General features: G+C 41.2%; 1 protein-coding gene and 1 long non-coding RNA gene across 9 annotated transcripts in view, besides 1 other annotated feature; one reads left to right on the plus strand and one right to left on the minus strand.

Annotated features, from left to right (window-relative positions):
* The first annotated feature begins 91 nt into the window (after positions 1 to 91).
* LOC124909384 (uncharacterized) lies at positions 92 to 7,503 on the plus strand. The gene is made up of 2 exons (XR_007095923.1): positions 92 to 693; positions 5,327 to 7,503. It is a non-coding gene; the product is annotated as an uncharacterized LOC124909384 (long non-coding RNA).
* Positions 1,001 to 18,823, minus strand: part of DNAH12 (dynein axonemal heavy chain 12) — a 262,335-nt gene continuing 244,512 nt past the window's right edge. For 7 of the 8 annotated variants that reach the window (XM_047447667.1, XM_011533468.2, XM_047447668.1 and 4 more), the window contains 8 exons: positions 18,018 to 18,251; positions 16,967 to 17,155; positions 16,452 to 16,555; positions 9,036 to 9,240; positions 4,148 to 4,285; positions 3,645 to 3,736; positions 2,826 to 2,893; positions 1,001 to 1,272 (listed from right to left, as the gene is read on the minus strand). In XM_047447667.1, the coding sequence (XP_047303623.1) occupies positions 1,082 to 1,272; positions 2,826 to 2,893; positions 3,645 to 3,736; positions 4,148 to 4,285; positions 9,036 to 9,240; positions 16,452 to 16,555; positions 16,967 to 17,155; positions 18,018 to 18,251 (1,221 nt within the window). In that variant the 3' untranslated portion in view covers positions 1,001 to 1,081. Of the gene's footprint in view, positions 1,273 to 2,825; positions 2,894 to 3,644; positions 3,737 to 4,147; positions 4,286 to 4,899; positions 5,169 to 9,035; positions 9,241 to 16,451; positions 16,556 to 16,966; positions 17,156 to 18,017; positions 18,252 to 18,823 lie in introns of those variants that run through there. The other variant, XM_017005860.2, reaches the window with a different exon arrangement.
* Positions 17,388 to 17,588: a silencer, noted in NCBI's record as "peak4666 fragment used in MPRA reporter construct". NCBI's record gives its function as "represses an SCP1 promoter by STARR-seq MPRAs in K562 erythroleukemia cells {active_cell/tissue: K562}" and the evidence as "EXISTENCE:reporter gene assay evidence [ECO:0000049][PMID:32103011]".

The raw sequence follows: 18,823 nt of genomic DNA on the forward strand, positions 1-18,823 counted from the left end.
GAATTTTCATTTATATTTAGGCTCTCCTCTCCCCTGTAGTGACCATTCCATTAATAGCTTTACTATAAATACTTCATCATAAGACAGTTTGGCACATTCTCCTTGTTTTTTACATGTGGTTTAGCTCTTTTTGGAAACATGATCTCTTTTCTTCAGTGCTACATTCATCAAATTTAAAGGATTAAATATTTTATTCCTGGAATAAAATGCTTTTGCAGGGGGTTGGCCATGCAAAGAGAATTCATGCACATAGCCACTGCAAACCACAATCAATTTTTCACTTAAGAGAACCCAAACATTTTGCTCTGACCCAATTATCCAAAGTGACTGTCCCAATGTACTAGATTCACTAGGTAGCTGTGACTACATTTTCCTTGGGTTACAGAACTGTGGCCTTCAGTGTCCTTGGAATCCTAAGGGAAGAATTCACTCTACACAAGATAAAATTTTGATCAAAATTCTGTTTTGTTGAAATATTTTTAAATTGTTAATATACACTAAAAAAAGCAAAGGGACCACTTGACATTTCAAATTAAATATGAAGCAAATGCCGAGAAGCACACTGTCACTGCAGGTGTAGAAGTTCGGACTGCCCTCAAGCCATCCTACTGCCTTTGCAGGCCAACTTCGCAGCTTTGAGTTTCCTTTCCTAGTCACAAGGATGCAGTGAGAAATGGAACCGATGTCTTAGAGGTAAGAAATAAAGAGGTATAGTTGGGTAACTTTTAATATTTTCCATATTTATAATTTCTTAATTTATGTATTTGAAATATTTATGTATAATTACTTTAGGTAGGAGAGTGGAAAGTAAACTATACTGAAGCTGAAGGAATGACTTAACATTTGTGAAGGAGATAATTCCTGATATTTGTTAAATGTTACCGTTTAACCCCCAAATCTATTTTTCACATACAATCAAACTTCAAAAAGTTCTCCTCAGAAAGGAGAACAATGCAATGAGTGTTTGCAAAGATCATTTAAAAGAATAACACCAAAACACTTGGTTTTATAATGTATATATTTTAAGTAGGACAGGTTTTTTTTTTTTTAAACTTTTGGATGTTTTATAAATTTGTCCAATTTAGTCATCCAACTGACAAAGCAAAGCAACCCCGCGCTTGATCCAGTGCCGAGTAGGTTGGTCTGTTTTTAACAACATTGCAATGACAAAGTTAGTAGAATGTCCCGTAGTGGAAAGAGTTCCTTTACGTTCACTTGTCTTGTAGAGGGGACAGACATAGGCATCCGACTTTATAATCCGAGATTTTTGAGCTTGAAAAAAAAAAAGAAATATATTCACTTGATAAAGGGAAAAACAGCCATTGGTACGAAAAGAACTATTTATCTTGTAATAAAATGGCCAGAACTAAATCTAAGATCATAATTGTGATATATGAAGGTTTTACAGCATATATATTTTTTTACAGTACATATAGTATTACGGTTGTGAAACAAGGCAAGTATTTCTTTTCTTTTCTTTTTTTTTTTTTTTTTGGAGACTGAGTCTCACTCTGTCACCTAGGCTGGAGTACAGTGGCACAATCTCGGCTCACTGCAACCTCTGCCTCCCAGGTTCAAGCGATTCTCTTGTCTCAGCCTCCTGAGTAGGTGGGACTACAGGTGCCTGCCACCATGCCTTGCTAATTTTTGTATTTTTAGTAGAGACGGGGTTTCACTATGTTGGCCAGGCTGGTCTTGAACCCCTGACCTCGTGATCTGCCCGCCTCAGCCTCCCAAAGTGCTGGGATTACAGGCGTGAGCCACTGCGCCCAGCCCAAGGCAAGTATTTCGTATGGTGCATGATTCTAGGTGTGGAAGACAGGAATAGACTTTAAAGTTCTGACCGCTTAGCAGGCATGAGAAAACTCAAGAGGATTTGGGAGGGGAGAATGAGAAGGGAGGGAAGAAGGAATAAAATACAGTATAGGTAGTGGGGGAGACTCAAAAGAAGAAATACAACTGCTTAGAGCTCTAATCCAAGAAACCCACACATTAGAAGAAGCTGACGTTTCTATTTGTTTTTAGCAGGTAAATAATAAGAAAAACATGTCAACTCTTACCAATTCATGAAAAGAAACTATATACAATCCCCAAAAAGCCAGATATAAGATATTAAGAGTCTTTCCAAACTAAGGTCACGTTTCTCATAGTTATAACTGAACCACATTCGTAATGAGAATATTTGATAGGTTGGATGGTGATTCTGGGTGATCAGTAAATATTTTAAGAAATTGTTGTTATTTAAGAATTAAAAAGTTAGGGAAGAGAAAACAAAAGAATGAGACTTTTTTTTCCAGACTTGTAGAAAGATGATGATGGCAGAAGCAGGGGAGGAGCAAGCAGTTTCCTAAATGGGGCAAAATTGGCCCCCACCCCATGTGGCTAGCAACATCTATGCCTTGGGGGACCTGGCTGGCTCCTAGGCCTAGCAGTTTCTTATAGCCAGAAAATGCTAGTCACTAGCGGGAGACTGTGTCAAGCTAATTTGTGCCTCTGAGCAATGTGTAAAGGGAATTCAGAATCAAAATATGGATGGGCAGCTGTTCAATCTGTGAACCCCCTTGTAGAAGTGGGGGGAGGGGCTGAAAAGAATGACATATCCCATAGGCTACGATAAAAAAGCAGCATGGTATTCCCAAAATAATATAAATGCCATACACACAAAGAGATAATAATAATTTCTAATGTAAATGTTCTATTAATGTTTATTATAATTGAGCTAGATCCTAAAAGGTTTGAGCAAAAACTTATTTTGGGGAGCAGTGTATAATATCCATCCTTATTCTCCCTAAACTTCAAATAAATTTTGTTGAGAGAATATTTACTTGGTTTTATCCATATGATGGGCATCAGGTCAAACAGAAGTTTGGGATATTGTTCAGCAAGCAATCCACTGTAACGAGAAATTGACAGAAATTATTAGAAATAACATGAAATTCACTTCTGAGAACAGATTGCTACTTAGATATTGGCTTTTACTAAAAGAAAGGACTAGAGGCATAGAGAAAAAGAAATGTAAAAAAAGAAAATGAGAAAATGGCAATGAAGAATTGAGAGAAACAAAAGACAATGATGGAAAGGCAAAGGGTAAACAGTGGACACATATGAATGTCTGCCAATTTTTAATGATTGTCCATGTGGCCAGGGCTCCAAGGGAAACTTTGTCTCCTTTTCTCTATCCCATATATTTTAAACAGGAATAGTATTGCTTAATTTCCTGAGTGAAGCAGGAAATTCAGTATTTATTGTAAATATTTATTTATTATCTCATCAAAATGCAAGAAAAGGTTTCCCATTCACTAACAGAAAGGTGAACTTCATTATAACTAACTGTAAACCATTTAAAAGTGAGGTGGTCCTACACATTACAAAATAGAAGGAAACTGTTATAAAATGGAATAGGCAGGAAAATAATTTCAGCTAACTTTTCTACTAATAAGACTACTGAAATATTGACTAAAAATTATTCAAGACCTAAAAATAACAACTCATCAGTTGCCCCAGCTTGACTAATAATTTATGTGAGAGTTCTGATGTTATTATTACTTGCCTTAAAAGAGGACTTTTTTTTTAAGCAACAGATTGCTTATCTTATCTATGATTCAGCTACAAATGAAGAGGTCCTGGCAGCTGAATCCACTGACCTTTCTCGGTCCCAGCGTGCGCCATCGAGATACAGTCCGTGGATATAAACACCATCTTCTGGTGATGTGTCAGATGTATCAGATGGGATAACCTGAAGGGATAGGCACACACTAGCAGTGATCCTCTCCAGACAACTTCATCTCATAAAGAACACATTAGCGAAATATTCAGAACACATTCAGGGAAACTCTATTGTATAATAGCTTGTTAAACTATACATTTTTTCAGCCGTAGTTTGTAAAAAAGTATAAAAGTACTTCTTTTTGAAGTATTTTATCAGATTGTACTGTACCTCATAATTTTTGCTAAAGTAGAAGAACAGCGTTGGATTATTTAAATCAAATATTGCAATATATAAAAGTTCTAAGGGATAGCAAGACAAATATTCTTACAACACAAAGAATGAAGTAAAATTGCTTACAATGGGTTACAATACATAAACTCGGTTTAAATACATGACTTAATGTAATGATATACTGTTGACTTTAAGGAGTTACTATACCTCAAATTCATATCCTAGCAAATCAATAGGGGTGGTATATTTTCTGGCATAATTCTGCATAGCTCCAGTTAAAAAGGCCTGAGTGAAAAAGAAACCTGACAGCCAAAACACACAAGGTTTTCCTGAATTATACCAGTCCTACAAAGGGAAAACAAAACACATTATGTCAGTTTTTAAAGTTATACAAGTGCCACCTGATGTACAATTCCTGATTCTGGTTTTTGCTTATGTTGCCCACATTTTCCATCACGAGGCCCTCTTCCCTGACGTCAAACACACAGCCTACCTTGGCCCTCTCACCTCTTTCCCCTTCTACTCTTCTTGGAAAACTCAGAACAATTTGAGCATTAACGTGAATGAAACATAGTTTGAAGAGTCAAATCTTCTGCAAAAGCCAAATGTAAATTATTTGATGCTTTATTATATCATCCCACTCAAAAGCAACCATCATTAGACATCTTACACATTGTCTAATTATAGACCTCATTTGTTGATTCCAGTTCCTTAACCCTATTTTTTTTTTTTTTGAGATGAAATCGCGCACCATTACCCAGGCTGGAGTGCAGTGGCATGATCTTAGCTCACTGCAGCCTCTGCCTCCTGGGTTCGAGTGATTCTCCTGTCTCAGCCTCCTGAGTAGCTGGGATTACAGGCGTGCACCACCATGCCTGGCTAGTTTTTGTATTTCTAGTAGAGATGGGGTTTCAGCATGTTGGCCAGGCTGGTCTGGAACTCCTGACTTCAAGTGATCTGCCTACCTTGGCCTCCCAAAGTCCTGGGATCACAGGTGTGAGCCACCGCGCCCGGCCCCCAGTTCCTTAACCCTCTTAAACCCCTTGTCTCTGTGTCCACTGCCCTCACTCCAGTTCAGCTATTCATGGTCTTCTTTCTGTACCAGTGCATGTTGTCTTCTTGCTTCTTCCCTTTCTGCTCAATCTATCCAGAAGAATTGCCAGAATATAACTCACCGTGCAGAATTTGGATCAGACGTAGCATCTTGCATCAGTGTAGCATCAGTGACCTACCAAATTGTTCAGTGATGCACCAAATTAAAGCTTAAGCCTCTTGGTCTCCTATTCAAGATACTTCACACAAACAAACAAACCAAAAACATAGATACTTCACAATCCATCCCCAATGTATTTTCAGTTCTATTATATCTCTTTTACTTCCTTTCAGGCATCCTGCATTCTAATCTGGACTGGACTAAAGGGACTGGACTATTTGCTGGTCTCTTTGTGCTGGGTGGACATTTGTTGTTTTCCTGCCTATCTTGAAGTGATACCATCCTTCTCAGTCCAAGCTTCTCAGTCCAGGCACCTCTGGTGGTAGAACTCCACCTAGCCATGCAGGGTAGGCTGGTGACTCACACCTGGCCAGTCATACTTCCAGCCTGAGTGACTGATTCAGAAATGGACATGTGACCCAATCAAAGCCAGAGATGCAGAAACTCTTGCTGGGACTTTCGGAGAAAAGACTCACTCTCAACTCCTCAAAGTTGGGTGGATGTGAGGCCAGAGTTGCTGTTGCTATCTTGCTACCATCAGATGACAGCCTGAGAATGGAGTTTACCCAAAGGGAATGGAGACAACAGATGAAGTGCAAGAAGCCAGGACAAGATATCCATGTTTGCACCCTGGTCAAATGTTACCTGAAGCCACTTTAGCTCCTGGAGTTTGCAGTTACATGAGGGAACAAACTTCATTTTTGCTTATGTCAGAATTTTTGTTACTTATAATGGAATCAATCCAAAGTGGTACAGTGCTTTTTATCCCATAAGCTACATAGTGATCTCTTTTTCCTTTCTTTGCAGTATCTAAACCATTCATTCTTTAAATCCCACTTAAATGCTACCTCATCCATGAAACAATCTCTGCTTTCTTGTGCCATAAGAACTCTCTCCCTTCTTTGAAATCCCAGAGCATTTTACATGTTGGTCTCTTATGGAACATCCCTTACTATAGTGTACTAATTTTCTTTAGATACATGGCTTGTCCCCTGTAAGCTCTTGGCAGCTTCAGGGCAGGACTTTTGTTGTGATTATCTTTTTATCACAGGACACACAAGGTGCTTTGAATAAAATGAGGTCTCAATTCATATTTATGGAATGAACAGATGAATCAATGAAATGGACTTTGTCTCTGAGCAGGCAATACACTCTGGGAAGAAGCCAGTTTTGCTCCATAGGAGGAAGAGAACAAACTGCTGCTGGAGATGCTGCAACAGTACAAGCTGTCAGGTCAAGAAGAGGCAGAGAAAGAGATGAAGTCTGACAAGGGTAAAACCAGGGAGAGCGAGCACCAAGCACAAGAAAGCTGTAAAGACCCACAAGGCAAACATTTAGAAAACCCACTCGCCCGTGGCTTCCTTTATCCCAGAGTGTCATTAGTGTCTGTGGTCAGCTACTTGTACTACCTCTGAATTAGCTACCATTTACTAAGTGCTTAGTACATGCCAGGCACTGTGCTAAACATTTCATATGCATTGCCTCATTTACTCTATAAAATAACAGTGAGTTGAATATTATTTCTGTCATTTTACAGATGAAGAAACTGGGGTACAGAAAGATGAGTAACTTGCTAAAAGTCACAAAGATAGTTAAGTGTTAGATCAGGATTTATGCTGGGATTTTAGGCAGTGTGCAAAAAGTTTTTTTTTTAAAAAAAAGGCACAGGAAGGAGAGAATGTGAAGATGCTATGGACTGAATGTTTGTTTTCCTCCAAAATTCATAGATTGAAACCCTCATCTCCAAGGTGATGGTATTTGGAGATGGAGCCTTTGGGAGGTAATTAGGTCATAAGGGTGGAGCCCTCATGATAGGATTAGCACCCTTATAAGAAGAAACAGAAGAGACATTTTTCTCTTTTTCTCTCATCGTGAACCAGGAGAGCTGTCACCAGTAACCTGACCATGATGGCATCTTGATCTCAGACTTTCCAGCCTCCAGAGCTTGAGAAATAAATGTCTGTTCTTTAAGTTATCTAGTCTATTTTGCTTTTTTATAGCAGCCTGAACTGACTAAAAAGGAGATCGATAGGGTGAACAGTGAGAGAGAAATGAGGAAAGTGTAGAGTCCTGTAACAATGAGGAAAGGGCCCCACGTGGGGGAGAACAATTGTTCTGAAAAATGTCTAATTACAGACAATCCACTAGCACATCTTGTTTCCAAATACCTTGCTGTGCCTGTAGCCCGAGCAGCACCACCTTGTTCTGCATAGCCCCTCTAGTACCACCCTACAAAACTTCCCTCCAGCCCCTGGTTCTTTGCAGATAGCCTCTTCTCTGCTGTGCTGCCCACTGCACTGTTTCAATGTATTTTCATACTTTCTCTAATAAATCTGCCTTTCTTTACCTACGATTGTCTTGGTAAATTGTTTTACTGACCATGACGCTGGCCCCAGTCAGTTGCACCCAAGACAGAAATAATAGAAAATTCAGATGACTCATTTGCTTAACTTGTTAACTCTAAGAACCATTAGGAGGTAAAGAAGAGTCCAAGAGAAAGAAAGATAATGAGAGAACTATAGCTTCTATAAGGGTAAGAGAACAATGGAGGAAACCCTTTCAATATTCTGTTTTGTATTATTCCTTTTGTTAAACATATAATCTACATGAAAAGCTCCTATCAATTAATAAATAATACAAAAGAAAAATGGGCCTAGGATATGAATTGACAGTACACACACACACCCACACACACCACAAATGGAAATCACACATACTAAAGAAGCATAGGCTCACTAGTCATTAAAGAAAGTCGAATGGAAACAGCAAGATATGGTTGACCTATCAGATTGGCAAAAATTTTAAAGCGATATAGGAGAAAGTCTGTCTCTCTACATTCTTACAAGCACTGGTTATTTTATGATTAGCTTATACAGTGAAAGAAAGCTTTTGTGCAATAAAAAGGCAACTGAACACTGAAAGATCATATACCTTTGAGAATTTCCAAAAAAAAAATAGTTTTGGGATTCTCCCCACCCCATACTCCTTCATAAACATCAACCATAGAATGGGGGCAGGCAGTGGAGTTGAGAAGGAAAAGCAGTGTTCTGTCTGATGTTTATGCTGGGGGGAGGGCAGAGGGGGCATTCAAAATACTTATCTTTTCCCTGGTTTTCTGAGATAAGAGGCACTGATTTAAAGACAATGGCCAATTATTGATAAACCCAAGCCTCTGGCCTGTAATCCCAGTGCTTTGGGAGGCCAAGGTGGGAGGATTGCTTGAGGTCAGGAGTGAGGCACCAGCGTGGGGTACTTGGTGAGACTCCATCTCTACAAAAAGTAAAATTAGCCACGTATGGTGGCACATGCCTGTAGTTCCAGTTATTCAAGAGGATCCCAGGATTTTGAGATTACAGTGAGCTAAGATCACACCACTGCACTCCAGCCTGGATGACAGAGCAAGACCCTGTCTCAAAAAAAAAAAAAAAAAAAAAAAAAAAAAAAAAAAAATCCAAGCCTCAGGATTTTTGACTTACCATCAGTATTAAAATCACAAGACAACTTTAAACTGTGGTCTTACAGGACCACAAACTTAGAATCTTGGTCTCAGAAAACCACAAACTTCGAATTTTGAAAAATATAAATGTCACATATTACATTGGTTTGGCTGAAGTATAATTTTAATTTTCCACTCAGTACTTTGAAATGTGTATATTTTTCAATATTCTAAAATTTTCATCAGACTATCACAAAGCTACTCATCACATTTCATTCAACTCAGAGACACTCAAGTGACCACAGCCAACAACTAATATCTCCCCAGTTAACCCAAAAAATAAAATTTTACATGTGTCTGTATATTTTACATATTTATACATGTATTTTACACACACACACACACACACACACACACACACACACACACACACACACACATTTTACCTGTAAAAAGTTCAACCGGGCTAGGAAATCTGTGATGTAACTTCCCAGGGGCTTAAGGCTTGGGTATGAACGTTTGGCCCATATTTCTGGAACCTTTCCAACAAGTAAGCTACCGGAGAGTGCCTCCAATGCAGAATCCATCACAACCACACCCTTAATAGCTTTTTCAAGGTCCCGTAGAGTGTTACGTATAGTTATAATTAAACTGCAATGAAAGAAATTATGTCATCAACATATATGATGATATCAACATACGGTCTTTCCAGAAGAAGAACAGCAGGAATTTCATTCCCAGCTTTATGGGATTGCTTCCCAAAATGTGTCACCTCCCATGTGGTGGTACGTGAGCTAATGTTAAGTGATACATGTATGAACATTTTTCATTTTAATCATTACATACATATTTTAAAATATAGAAAGTAATACAACTAGCATATCAAAATTTTTGCTTTCTGGCTATTTTTGCTTAGGACCTGGCTAATTTAAGCAGACAATGATTTAAGGAAAAATATTAGGTAAGTAATATTTCAGGTGACAGGCAAATATGAAAAAGCTGTAATGATGTCGTGCAATGGCTGAAACAAACACTGCATGAAAACATAAATTGTATATTCATTTATACACTTGCAAATACTTTACTTGCACTTAGGCCCAACTTGTTAAGAATACCATAAATATACTTGTAGTGAGAGTTTTTAGGCTAGAAGCCTGAGCAGCTGAGAGATACTGTGTTATTATATATACATAAATATAACTTTTGTATAAGAAATGCTGAATTAACTAAGGCATCAGGTGTATATATATATATATATATATATATATATATATATGTATTTTTTTTTTTTTTTTTTTTTTTTTTGAGACAGAGTTTCATTCTGTTGCCCAGGCTGGAGTGCAGCGGCATGATCTCGGCTCACTGCAACCTCCCCCTCCCAGGTTCAAGCAATTCTCCTGCCTCAGCCTCCTGCGTAACTGAGATTGCAGGCATGCACCACCACACCCAGCTAATTTCTGTATTTTTAGTAGAGAAGGGGTTTCACCATGTTGGCCAGGCTGGTCTCGAACTCCTGACCTCAGGTGATTCACCTGCCTCGGCCTCCCAAAGTGCTGGGATTACAGGCGTGAGCCACTGCGCCTGGCCAGGTAGCAGAAAAATGACAAAAGATGTGACTACACATAGGTCTAGCTAATGTTTATTCTGTCTCTAATTCCTAAGAAGAATAGTTAACAGATGGATGAGAAGTTATGATTAATGAATATTTTTAACCAGTAATAACAGATCTCTTTTCATCATCATTTTTACATTTTAAAAAATACCCACTCAACTGGGCGTGGTGGCTCACGCCTGTAATCCCAGCACTTGGAGAGGCCGACGCGGGTGCATCACGAGGTCAGGAGATCGAGACCATCCTGGCTAACATGGTGAAACCCCATCTCTACTAAAAATACAAAAAATTAGCCAGTCGTGGTGGTGGGCGCCTGTAGTCCCAGCTACTCAGGAGGCTGAGTCAGGAGAATGGCGTGAACCCAGGAGGCAGAGCTTGCAGTGAGCCCAGATCTTGCCACTGCACTCCAGCCTGGGCGACAGAGCAAAGACGCCAGCTCAAAAAAAAAAAAAAAAAAAAGATACCCTCTCTTCTGAGACAGAAGATATGGAACTTTTTCTTTCTTTTCTTTTTCTTTTTTTTTTTTTTTGAGACAAGGTCTCACTGTGTAACACAGGCTGGAGTGCAGTGCCACGATCTCTGTTCACTGCAGCCTCCATCTCCCAGGCTCAAGCGATTCTCCCACCTTGGCCTCCCAAGTAGCTGAGACTACAGGTGCCCGCTACCACGCCTGGATAATTTTTAAATTTTTGTTGACGGGGTTTTGCCATGTTTCCGAAGCTGGGATTTCAGGGCTCAAGCGATCCTCCTGCCTCGGCCTTATAAAGTGTTGGGGTTATAGTATGAGTCACTGAGCCTGGCCAGAACTTTTTAAAAGGGGAAAATTCCAATGAAATGACAGGATTTAATAGTCTTTTCAGCTCAATACCATTGTGTGTTTTTATTGACTTTGGATGGTTGCTGTCAGGACTCTGAGCCCAAGCTAAGCCATCATATCCCCTGTGACCTGCACGTATACATCCAGATGGCCTGAAGTAACTGAAGAATCACAAAAGAAGTGAAATTTAAATGGCCTGTTCCTGCCTTAACTGATGCCATTCCACCCCAAAAGAAGTGAAAATGGCTGGTCCATGCCTTAACTGATGACATTACCTTGTGAAATTCCTTTTCCTGGCTCATCCTGGCTCAAAAATCTCCCCCACTGAGCACCTTGTGACCCCCCACTCCTGCCCGCCAGAGAACAACCCCCCTTTGACTGTAATTTTCCTTTACCTACCCAAATCTTATAAAACGGCCCCACCCCATCTCCCTTCACTGACAAAACCTCTCTTTTCGGACTCAGCCTGCGTGCACCCAGGTGATTAAAAGCTTTATTGCTCACAGAAAGCCTGTTTGGTGGTCTCTCCACATGGAAGCGAGTGAAATTTGGTGCCATGACTCGGATCGGGGGACCTCCCTTGGGAGATCACTCCCCTGTCCTCCTGCTCTTTGCTCGGTGAGAAAGATCCACCTATGACCTCGGGTCCTCAGACCGACCAGCCCAAGGAATATCTCACCAATTTTAAATCAGGTAAGCAGCCTTTTTTTTACTCTCTTCTCCAACCTCTCTTACTATCCCTCAACCTCTTTCTCCTTTCAATCTTGGCGCCAAACTTCAATCTCTCTCTTCTCTCAATTTCAGTTCCTTTCCTTTTCTGGTAGAGACAAAGGAGATGCATTTTATCCGTGAACCCAAAACTCCGGCGCTGAACATGGACTTGGGAAGACAGTCTTCCCTTGGTTTTTAATCACGCAGGGGACACCTGCCTGATTATTCACCCACGTTTCAGAGGTGTCTGACCACACAGGGATGCCTGCCTTGGTCCTTCACCCTTAGCAGCAAGTACCGCTTTTCTGGAGGGCCAGAACCCCCCGACCCCTTTTCTCCGTGTCTCTACACCTTTTCTGCTTTTCTGGAGGGCAAGAACTCTCTGACCCCTTCTCTCCATGTCTCTACCCCTTCTCCACTTTCCTGGGGGGCAAGCACCCCCCACCCCTTCTCTTCGTGTCTCTACTCTCTTTTCTCTGGGCTTGCCTCCTTCACCATGGGCAGCCTTCCACCCTCCATTCCTCCTTTTTCTCCCTTAGCCTGTGTTCTGAAGAACTTAAAACCTCTTCAACTCACACCTGACCTAAACCTAAATGCCTCATTTTCTTCTGCAATGCCGCTTGACCCCAATACAAACTCGACAGTGGTTCCAAATAGCCAGAAAACGGCACTTTCGATTTTTCCATCCTACAAGATCTAAATAATTCTTATTGTAAAATAGGCAAACAGTCTGAGGTGCCTGACGTCCAGGCATTCTTTTACACATTGTTCCCTCCCTAGTCTCTGTTCCCGATGCGACTCATCCCAAACCCTCCTTCTTTCCCTCTCACCTCTCCCCTCAATCCCAACCCCAAGCGTCGCTGAGTCTTTCTAATCTTCCTTTTCTACAGACCCATCTGACCTCTCCCCTCCTCCCCAGGCTGCTCCTCGCCAGGCCGAGCTAGGTCCCAATTCTTCCTCAGCCTCCGCTCCTCCACCCTATAATCTTTTTATCACCTCCCCTCCTCACACCCGGTCCAGCTTACAGTTTCATTCCGCGACTAGCCCTCCCCCTCCTGCCCAGCAATTTACTCTTAAAAAGGTGGCTGGAGCTAAAGACATAGTCAAGGTTAATGCTCCTTTTTCTTTATCCCACTTCTCCCAAATCAGTTAGTGTTTAGGCTCTTTTTCATCAAATATGAAAAACCCAGCCAGTTCATGACTCATTTGGCGGCAACCCTGAGACGCTTTACAGCCCTAGACCCTAAAAGGTCAAAAGGCCGTCTTATTCTCAATATACATTTTATTACCCAATCCGCTTCTGACTTTAAATAAAGCTCCAAAAATTAAATTCCGGCCCTCAAACCCCACAACAGGACTTAATTAACCTTGCCTTCAAGGTGTATGATAATAGAAAAAAGTTGCAATTCCTTGCCTCCACTGTGAGACAAACCCCAGCCACGTCTCCAGCACACAAGAACTTCAAAACGCCTGAACCGCAGCACCGAGGCTTTCCTCCAGAACCTCCTCCCCCAGGAGCTTGCTACAAGTGCCAGAAATCTGGCCACTGGGCCAAGAAATGCCCGCAGCCCGGGATTCCTCATAAGCCACGTCCCATCTGTGCGGGACCCCACTGAAAATCGGACCGTTCAACTCACCTGGCAGCCACTCCCAGAGCCCCTGGAACTCTGGCCCAAGGCTCTCTGACTGACTCCTTCCCAGATCTTCTCCGCTTAGCGGCTGAAGACTGACACTGCCCGATCGCCTCAGAAGCCCCTAAACCATCACGGATGCCAAGCTTCGGGTAACTCTCACAGTGGAAGGTAAGTCCGTCCCCTTCTTAATCAATACAGAGGCTACCCACTTCACATTACCTTCTTTTCAAGGGTCTGTTTCCCTTGCCGCCATAACTGTTGTGGGTATTGACGGCCAGGCTTCTAAACCTCTTAAAACTCCCCAACTCTGGTGCCAACTTAGACAATACTCTTTTAAGCACTCCTTTTTAGTTATCCCCACCTGCCCAGTTCCCTTATTAGGCTGAGACACTTTAACTAAATTATCTGCTTCCCTGACTATTCCTGGGCTACAGCCACACCTCATTGCCGCCTTTTCCCCCAGTTCAAAGCCTGCTTCACATCCTCCCCTTGTATCTCCCCACCTTAACCCACAAGTATAGGACACTGCTACTCCCTCCTTAGCGACCGATCATGCACCCCTTACCATCCCATTAAAACCTAATCACCCTTACCCCGCATAATGCCAATATCCCATCCCACAGCACACTTTAAGAGGATTAAAGTCTGTTATCACTCGCCTGCCACAGCATGGCCTTTTAAAGCCTATAAACTCCCCTTACAATTCCCCCATTTTACCTGTCCTAAAACCAGACAAGGCTTACAGGTTAGTTCAGGATCTGTGCCTTATCAACCAAATTGTTTTGCCTATCCACCCCGTGGTGCCAAACCCATATACTCTCCTATCCTCAATACCTCCCTACACAACCCATTATTCTGTTCTGGATCTTAAACATGCTTTCTTTACTATTCTTTGCACCCTTCATCCCAGCCTCTCTTCGCTTTCACTTGGACTGACCCTGACACCCATCAGGCTCAGCAAACTACCTGGGCTGTACTGCCACAAGGCTTCAGACAGCCCCCATTTCTTCAGTCACGCCCAAATTTCTTCCTCATCTGTTACCTATCTCGGCATAATTCTCATAAAAACACATGTGCTCTCCCTGCCGATCGTGTCCGACTGATCTCTCAAACCCCAGCACCTACAAAACAACAACTCCTTTCCTTCCTAGGCATGGTTAGATACGACTTTAGATACCTGGTTTTGCCAAAAAACATTATATAAACTCACAAAAGGAAACCTAGCTGACCCCATAGATCCTAAATCCTTTCCCCACTCCTCTTTCCATTCCTTGAAGACAGCTTTAGAGACTGCCCCCACCCTAGCTCTCCCTGACTCATCCCAACCCTTTTCATTACCCACAGCCCAAATACGGGGCTGTGCAGTCAGAATTCTTACACAAGAACTGCGACTGCGCCCTGTAGCCTTTTTATCCAAACAACTTGACCTTACTGTTTTGCCTAGCCCTCAAGTCTGCGTGCAGTGGCCGCCACCACCCTAATACTTTTAGAGGCCCTTAAAATCACAAACTATGCTCAACTCACTCTCTATAGTTCTCATAATTTCCAAAATCTATTTTCTTCCTCACACCTGACACATACACTTTCTGCTCCCTGGCTCCTTCAGCTGTACTCACTCTTTGTTGAGTCTCCCACAATTACCATTGTTCCTGGCAGGGACTACAATCTGGCCTCCCACATTATTCCTGATACCACACCTGACCCCCATAACTGTATCTCTCTGATCCACCTGACATTCACCCCATTTTCCCATATTTCCTTCTTTCCTGTTCCTCACCCTGATCACACTTGGTTTACTGATGGCAGTTCCACCAGGCCTAATTGCCACACACCAGCAAAGGCAGGCTATGCTATAGTACAAGCCACTAACCTGCCTCTTAGAACCTCTCATTTCCTTTCCATCGTGGAACTCTATCCTCAAGGAAATAACTTCTCAGTGTTCCATCTGCTATTCTACTACTCTTCAGGGATTATTCAGGCCCCCTCCCTTCCCTACACATCAAGCTCAGGGATTTGCCCCCGCCCAGGACTGGCAAATTGGCTTTACTTGACATGCCCTGAGTCAGGAAACTAAAATACCTCTTGGTCTGGGTAGACACTTTCACTGGATAGGTAGAGGCCTTTCCCACAGGGTCTAAGAAGGCCACCATGGTCACTTCTTCCCTTCTGTCAGACATAATTCCTCTCTCTGGCCTTCCCACCTCTATACAGTCCTATAATGGACCGGACTTTATTAGTCAAATCACCCAAGCAGTTCCTCAGGCTCTTAGTATTCAGTGAACTAATGGTCTTTTAAAAACACACCTCGCCAAGCTCAGCCACCAACTTAAAAATGACTGGACAATACTTTTACCACTTGCCCTTCTCAGAATTCAGGCCTGTCCTCAGAATGCTACAAGGTACAGCCCATTTAAGCTCCTGTATAGACACTCCTTTTTATTAGGCCCCAGTCTCATTCCAGACACCAGATCAACTTGGACTGTGCCCCAAAAAACTTGTCATCCCTGCTATCTTGTCTAGTCATACTCCTATTCACCATTCTCAACTACTCATAAATGCCCTGCTCTTGTTTACACTGCCGGTTTACACTGTTTTCCAAGCCATCACAGCTGATATCTCCTGGTGCTATCCCCAAACCGCCACTCTTAACTCTTAAAGTAAATAAATAATCTTTGCTGGCAAGGCTACGCTGAACCTCCTCAGGCACTCTCTAATTAGATGTCCTAGGTCCTCCCAATTCTTAGTCCTTTAATACCTGTTTTTCTTCTTCTCTTATTCCATTTAATTTTTTAATTCATACAAAACCGTATCCAGGCCATCACCAATAATTCTGTAAGACAAATGTTTCTTCTAACAACCCTACAATATCACCCCTTACCACAAAATCTGCCTTCAGCTTAATCTCTCCCACTCTAGGTTCCCACACCGCCCCTAATCCCGCTTGAAGCAGCCCTGAGAAACATCGCCCATTCTCTCTTCATACCACCCTCAAAATTTTCGCCGCCCCAACACTTCAACACTATTTTATTTTTCTTATTAATATAAGAAGACAGTTGCCTTCTGAATCACTGGGGATATAGATCCTTACTTGTTAAATCTTTCCATTTCTTGTACTAACACAGTATTCATGCTTTCTTCATATCTCACAGGATACTTCCGTAGTGCCATTTCAATGTCGAAATCACTAGGGAGCTAAAAGAATAGATTTTGAAGATCACAAATTATTCTCAGAATGGATAATTAGCTTAATTCAGCCATTATATAATAATAGCTAATACTAGGGTGTATATGTACATTAGCTCATAACGTACAGTAATGTATATAAGTCCTATGTACCTTAGCTCATCCACAACCACAGTTACTAAGAACTTACTATATGCCAGGCATTTTATAAGCCACTTTAAATTCATGATGTCTTTAATGTTCTCAAAAAACTTAAAAAAATTGGTAGTATTATCACCATTTAACGGATTTGGAGGCTAATGCTTAGAGAGGCAAAGTTCTTGCTCAAGATCATAATGCTAGTACATGGAGTTTTCAGATTGTCATTTCAGTATCATTTTTATTTATATTATAAGTAACATATTTTAAGCTGAACATTACCTTGTTGAGGATATCTTTGGTAATTTCTAACAGAATCTGATCAGTACTTCCTGAGGCTCCTGTCTGTTTGGAGCCTCCCTGGGTGAGGAGCAAGGACTCAAAGAGGGTTTTTGTTTGTTGAAGATCCTTGGAGATGTCAACGTTTTCATGTAATCCAAATATCTCAGGGTGTTGAGTAAATGGAAGTTTCTACCAGAAAACAAATTAAGCATGCATCATATTTTCCCTGGATACTGAAAGGGATGATCAGGATACGCTACTCCAAAATATGCTACTTTGGCATAGGGGTTATGTGAGTTGAAGCCAATTAATAATTAACAGATACAGAAAGAGGTCTCTGCCCTCCCCTTATCTGTCTAAAAGTAGGGCATCAATTTCCATTTTTGACTTGTAGCATACATTTCCTCTTTCTTGTACCAGGATGAAGAGAATGACCCTTCTCACTGGAGACAGAACTGGCACTGAGATGAGTCTGTATAAACAGACCTCAGTCAAAATAATCCTTATCTTCCACTAGTTTCCCCCATATGTTTCCTAATCACTTTCCCACAATGTATTGCCCCTAGAACTCTAAACCCCCTTTCCTTTATCTAGTCATGTCTCTACAATTTATCACCCTCTGTTAAAATGGTAAATATGCCCAAGTACAACTGCATCGTTTGGTTTTCACTCCTTTTCTGCAAAGCTCATGTGCACAGAAAAATGTTAATATCCATACAAACTATACTGCCTCTTCTCCTGCTAATTTGTTTTTTGTCAGTTTGATTGGCAGGCCCCTGGCACTGAGCCTAAGAGGGTAAAGTTTTTCCTTTCCTACAATACATGAATTCATAAGGCAGACATGTGCAGACCAAAAAAGGGTTAAAAATCAACATCAAATAATGGAATACTCAAACTTTTCTAATTTTCAGTAATTACTAGAAAAAGATTATTAAAAGTTGATTAAAACCATAATATTTGTCTAAACCTATACATTAGAGAAGAACATTTCACCATTTGCTGTTAGAAAAATCACACATTAATCTAACCTTATTTTTGGTGACATCATTACCTTAATGAATTCAATGTAGTCCTCATAAGTGCCTTTAGGAGGTGCAAAATAGTTTCCACTGGGAGAAAACTTATAATGAGGGTTTTCAACTATGTACAGATTATAAAAGTCAGCCAGCATGGTTAATAGAAGACGTCTGTCCCAATCGTCTGTCACTCTTCCTCCATAATTACACTCCCCAGTCAGGTAAGATATAGCTTCAAATGGAATTGTATCATATTCATTGATAAATAACTGAAGCAAAGGAAAAATGAAACAAGAAAAACCTTAAAGTATTTCACTTCATTTCCATTTTAAGTATGTATCTATCTATCTAGAAAGGGGGTTGAAAGAATTATCATGAGTTGTCTTTCGGTAGCTGAGATTGTTAGTTTTTTTTTGGACAGTCTCGCTCTGTCGCCCAGGCTGGAGTGCAGAGGCATGATTTCAGCTCACTGCAACCTCCGCCTCCCAGGTTCAAGCGATTCTCCTGCCTCAGCCTCCCAGGTAGCTGGGATTACAGGAGTGTGCCACCACGCCCAGCTAATTTTTTGTATTTTTAGTAGAGACAGGGTTTCACCATGTTGGCCAGACTGGTCTTGAACTCCTGACCTCAGGTGATCCACCCAACTCAGCCTCCCAAAGTGCTGGGATTACAGGCGTGAGCCACTGCAGCTGGCTGATAGTATTTTATCTTAAATTGCTTGTCTGTGTCTCTAATTTTTTCTGAAATAAAGACATATTGCTTCTGTAATGAGAAAAACATTTAATAAAAAAAGACGACATGGAAATTACCAAGTATTTTTCATATGAATGTGGATAAACCT

Source organism: Homo sapiens, chromosome 3 (genome assembly GCF_000001405.40).
Source record: "Homo sapiens chromosome 3, GRCh38.p14 Primary Assembly".
Taxonomy (NCBI): domain Eukaryota; kingdom Metazoa; phylum Chordata; class Mammalia; order Primates; family Hominidae; genus Homo; species Homo sapiens.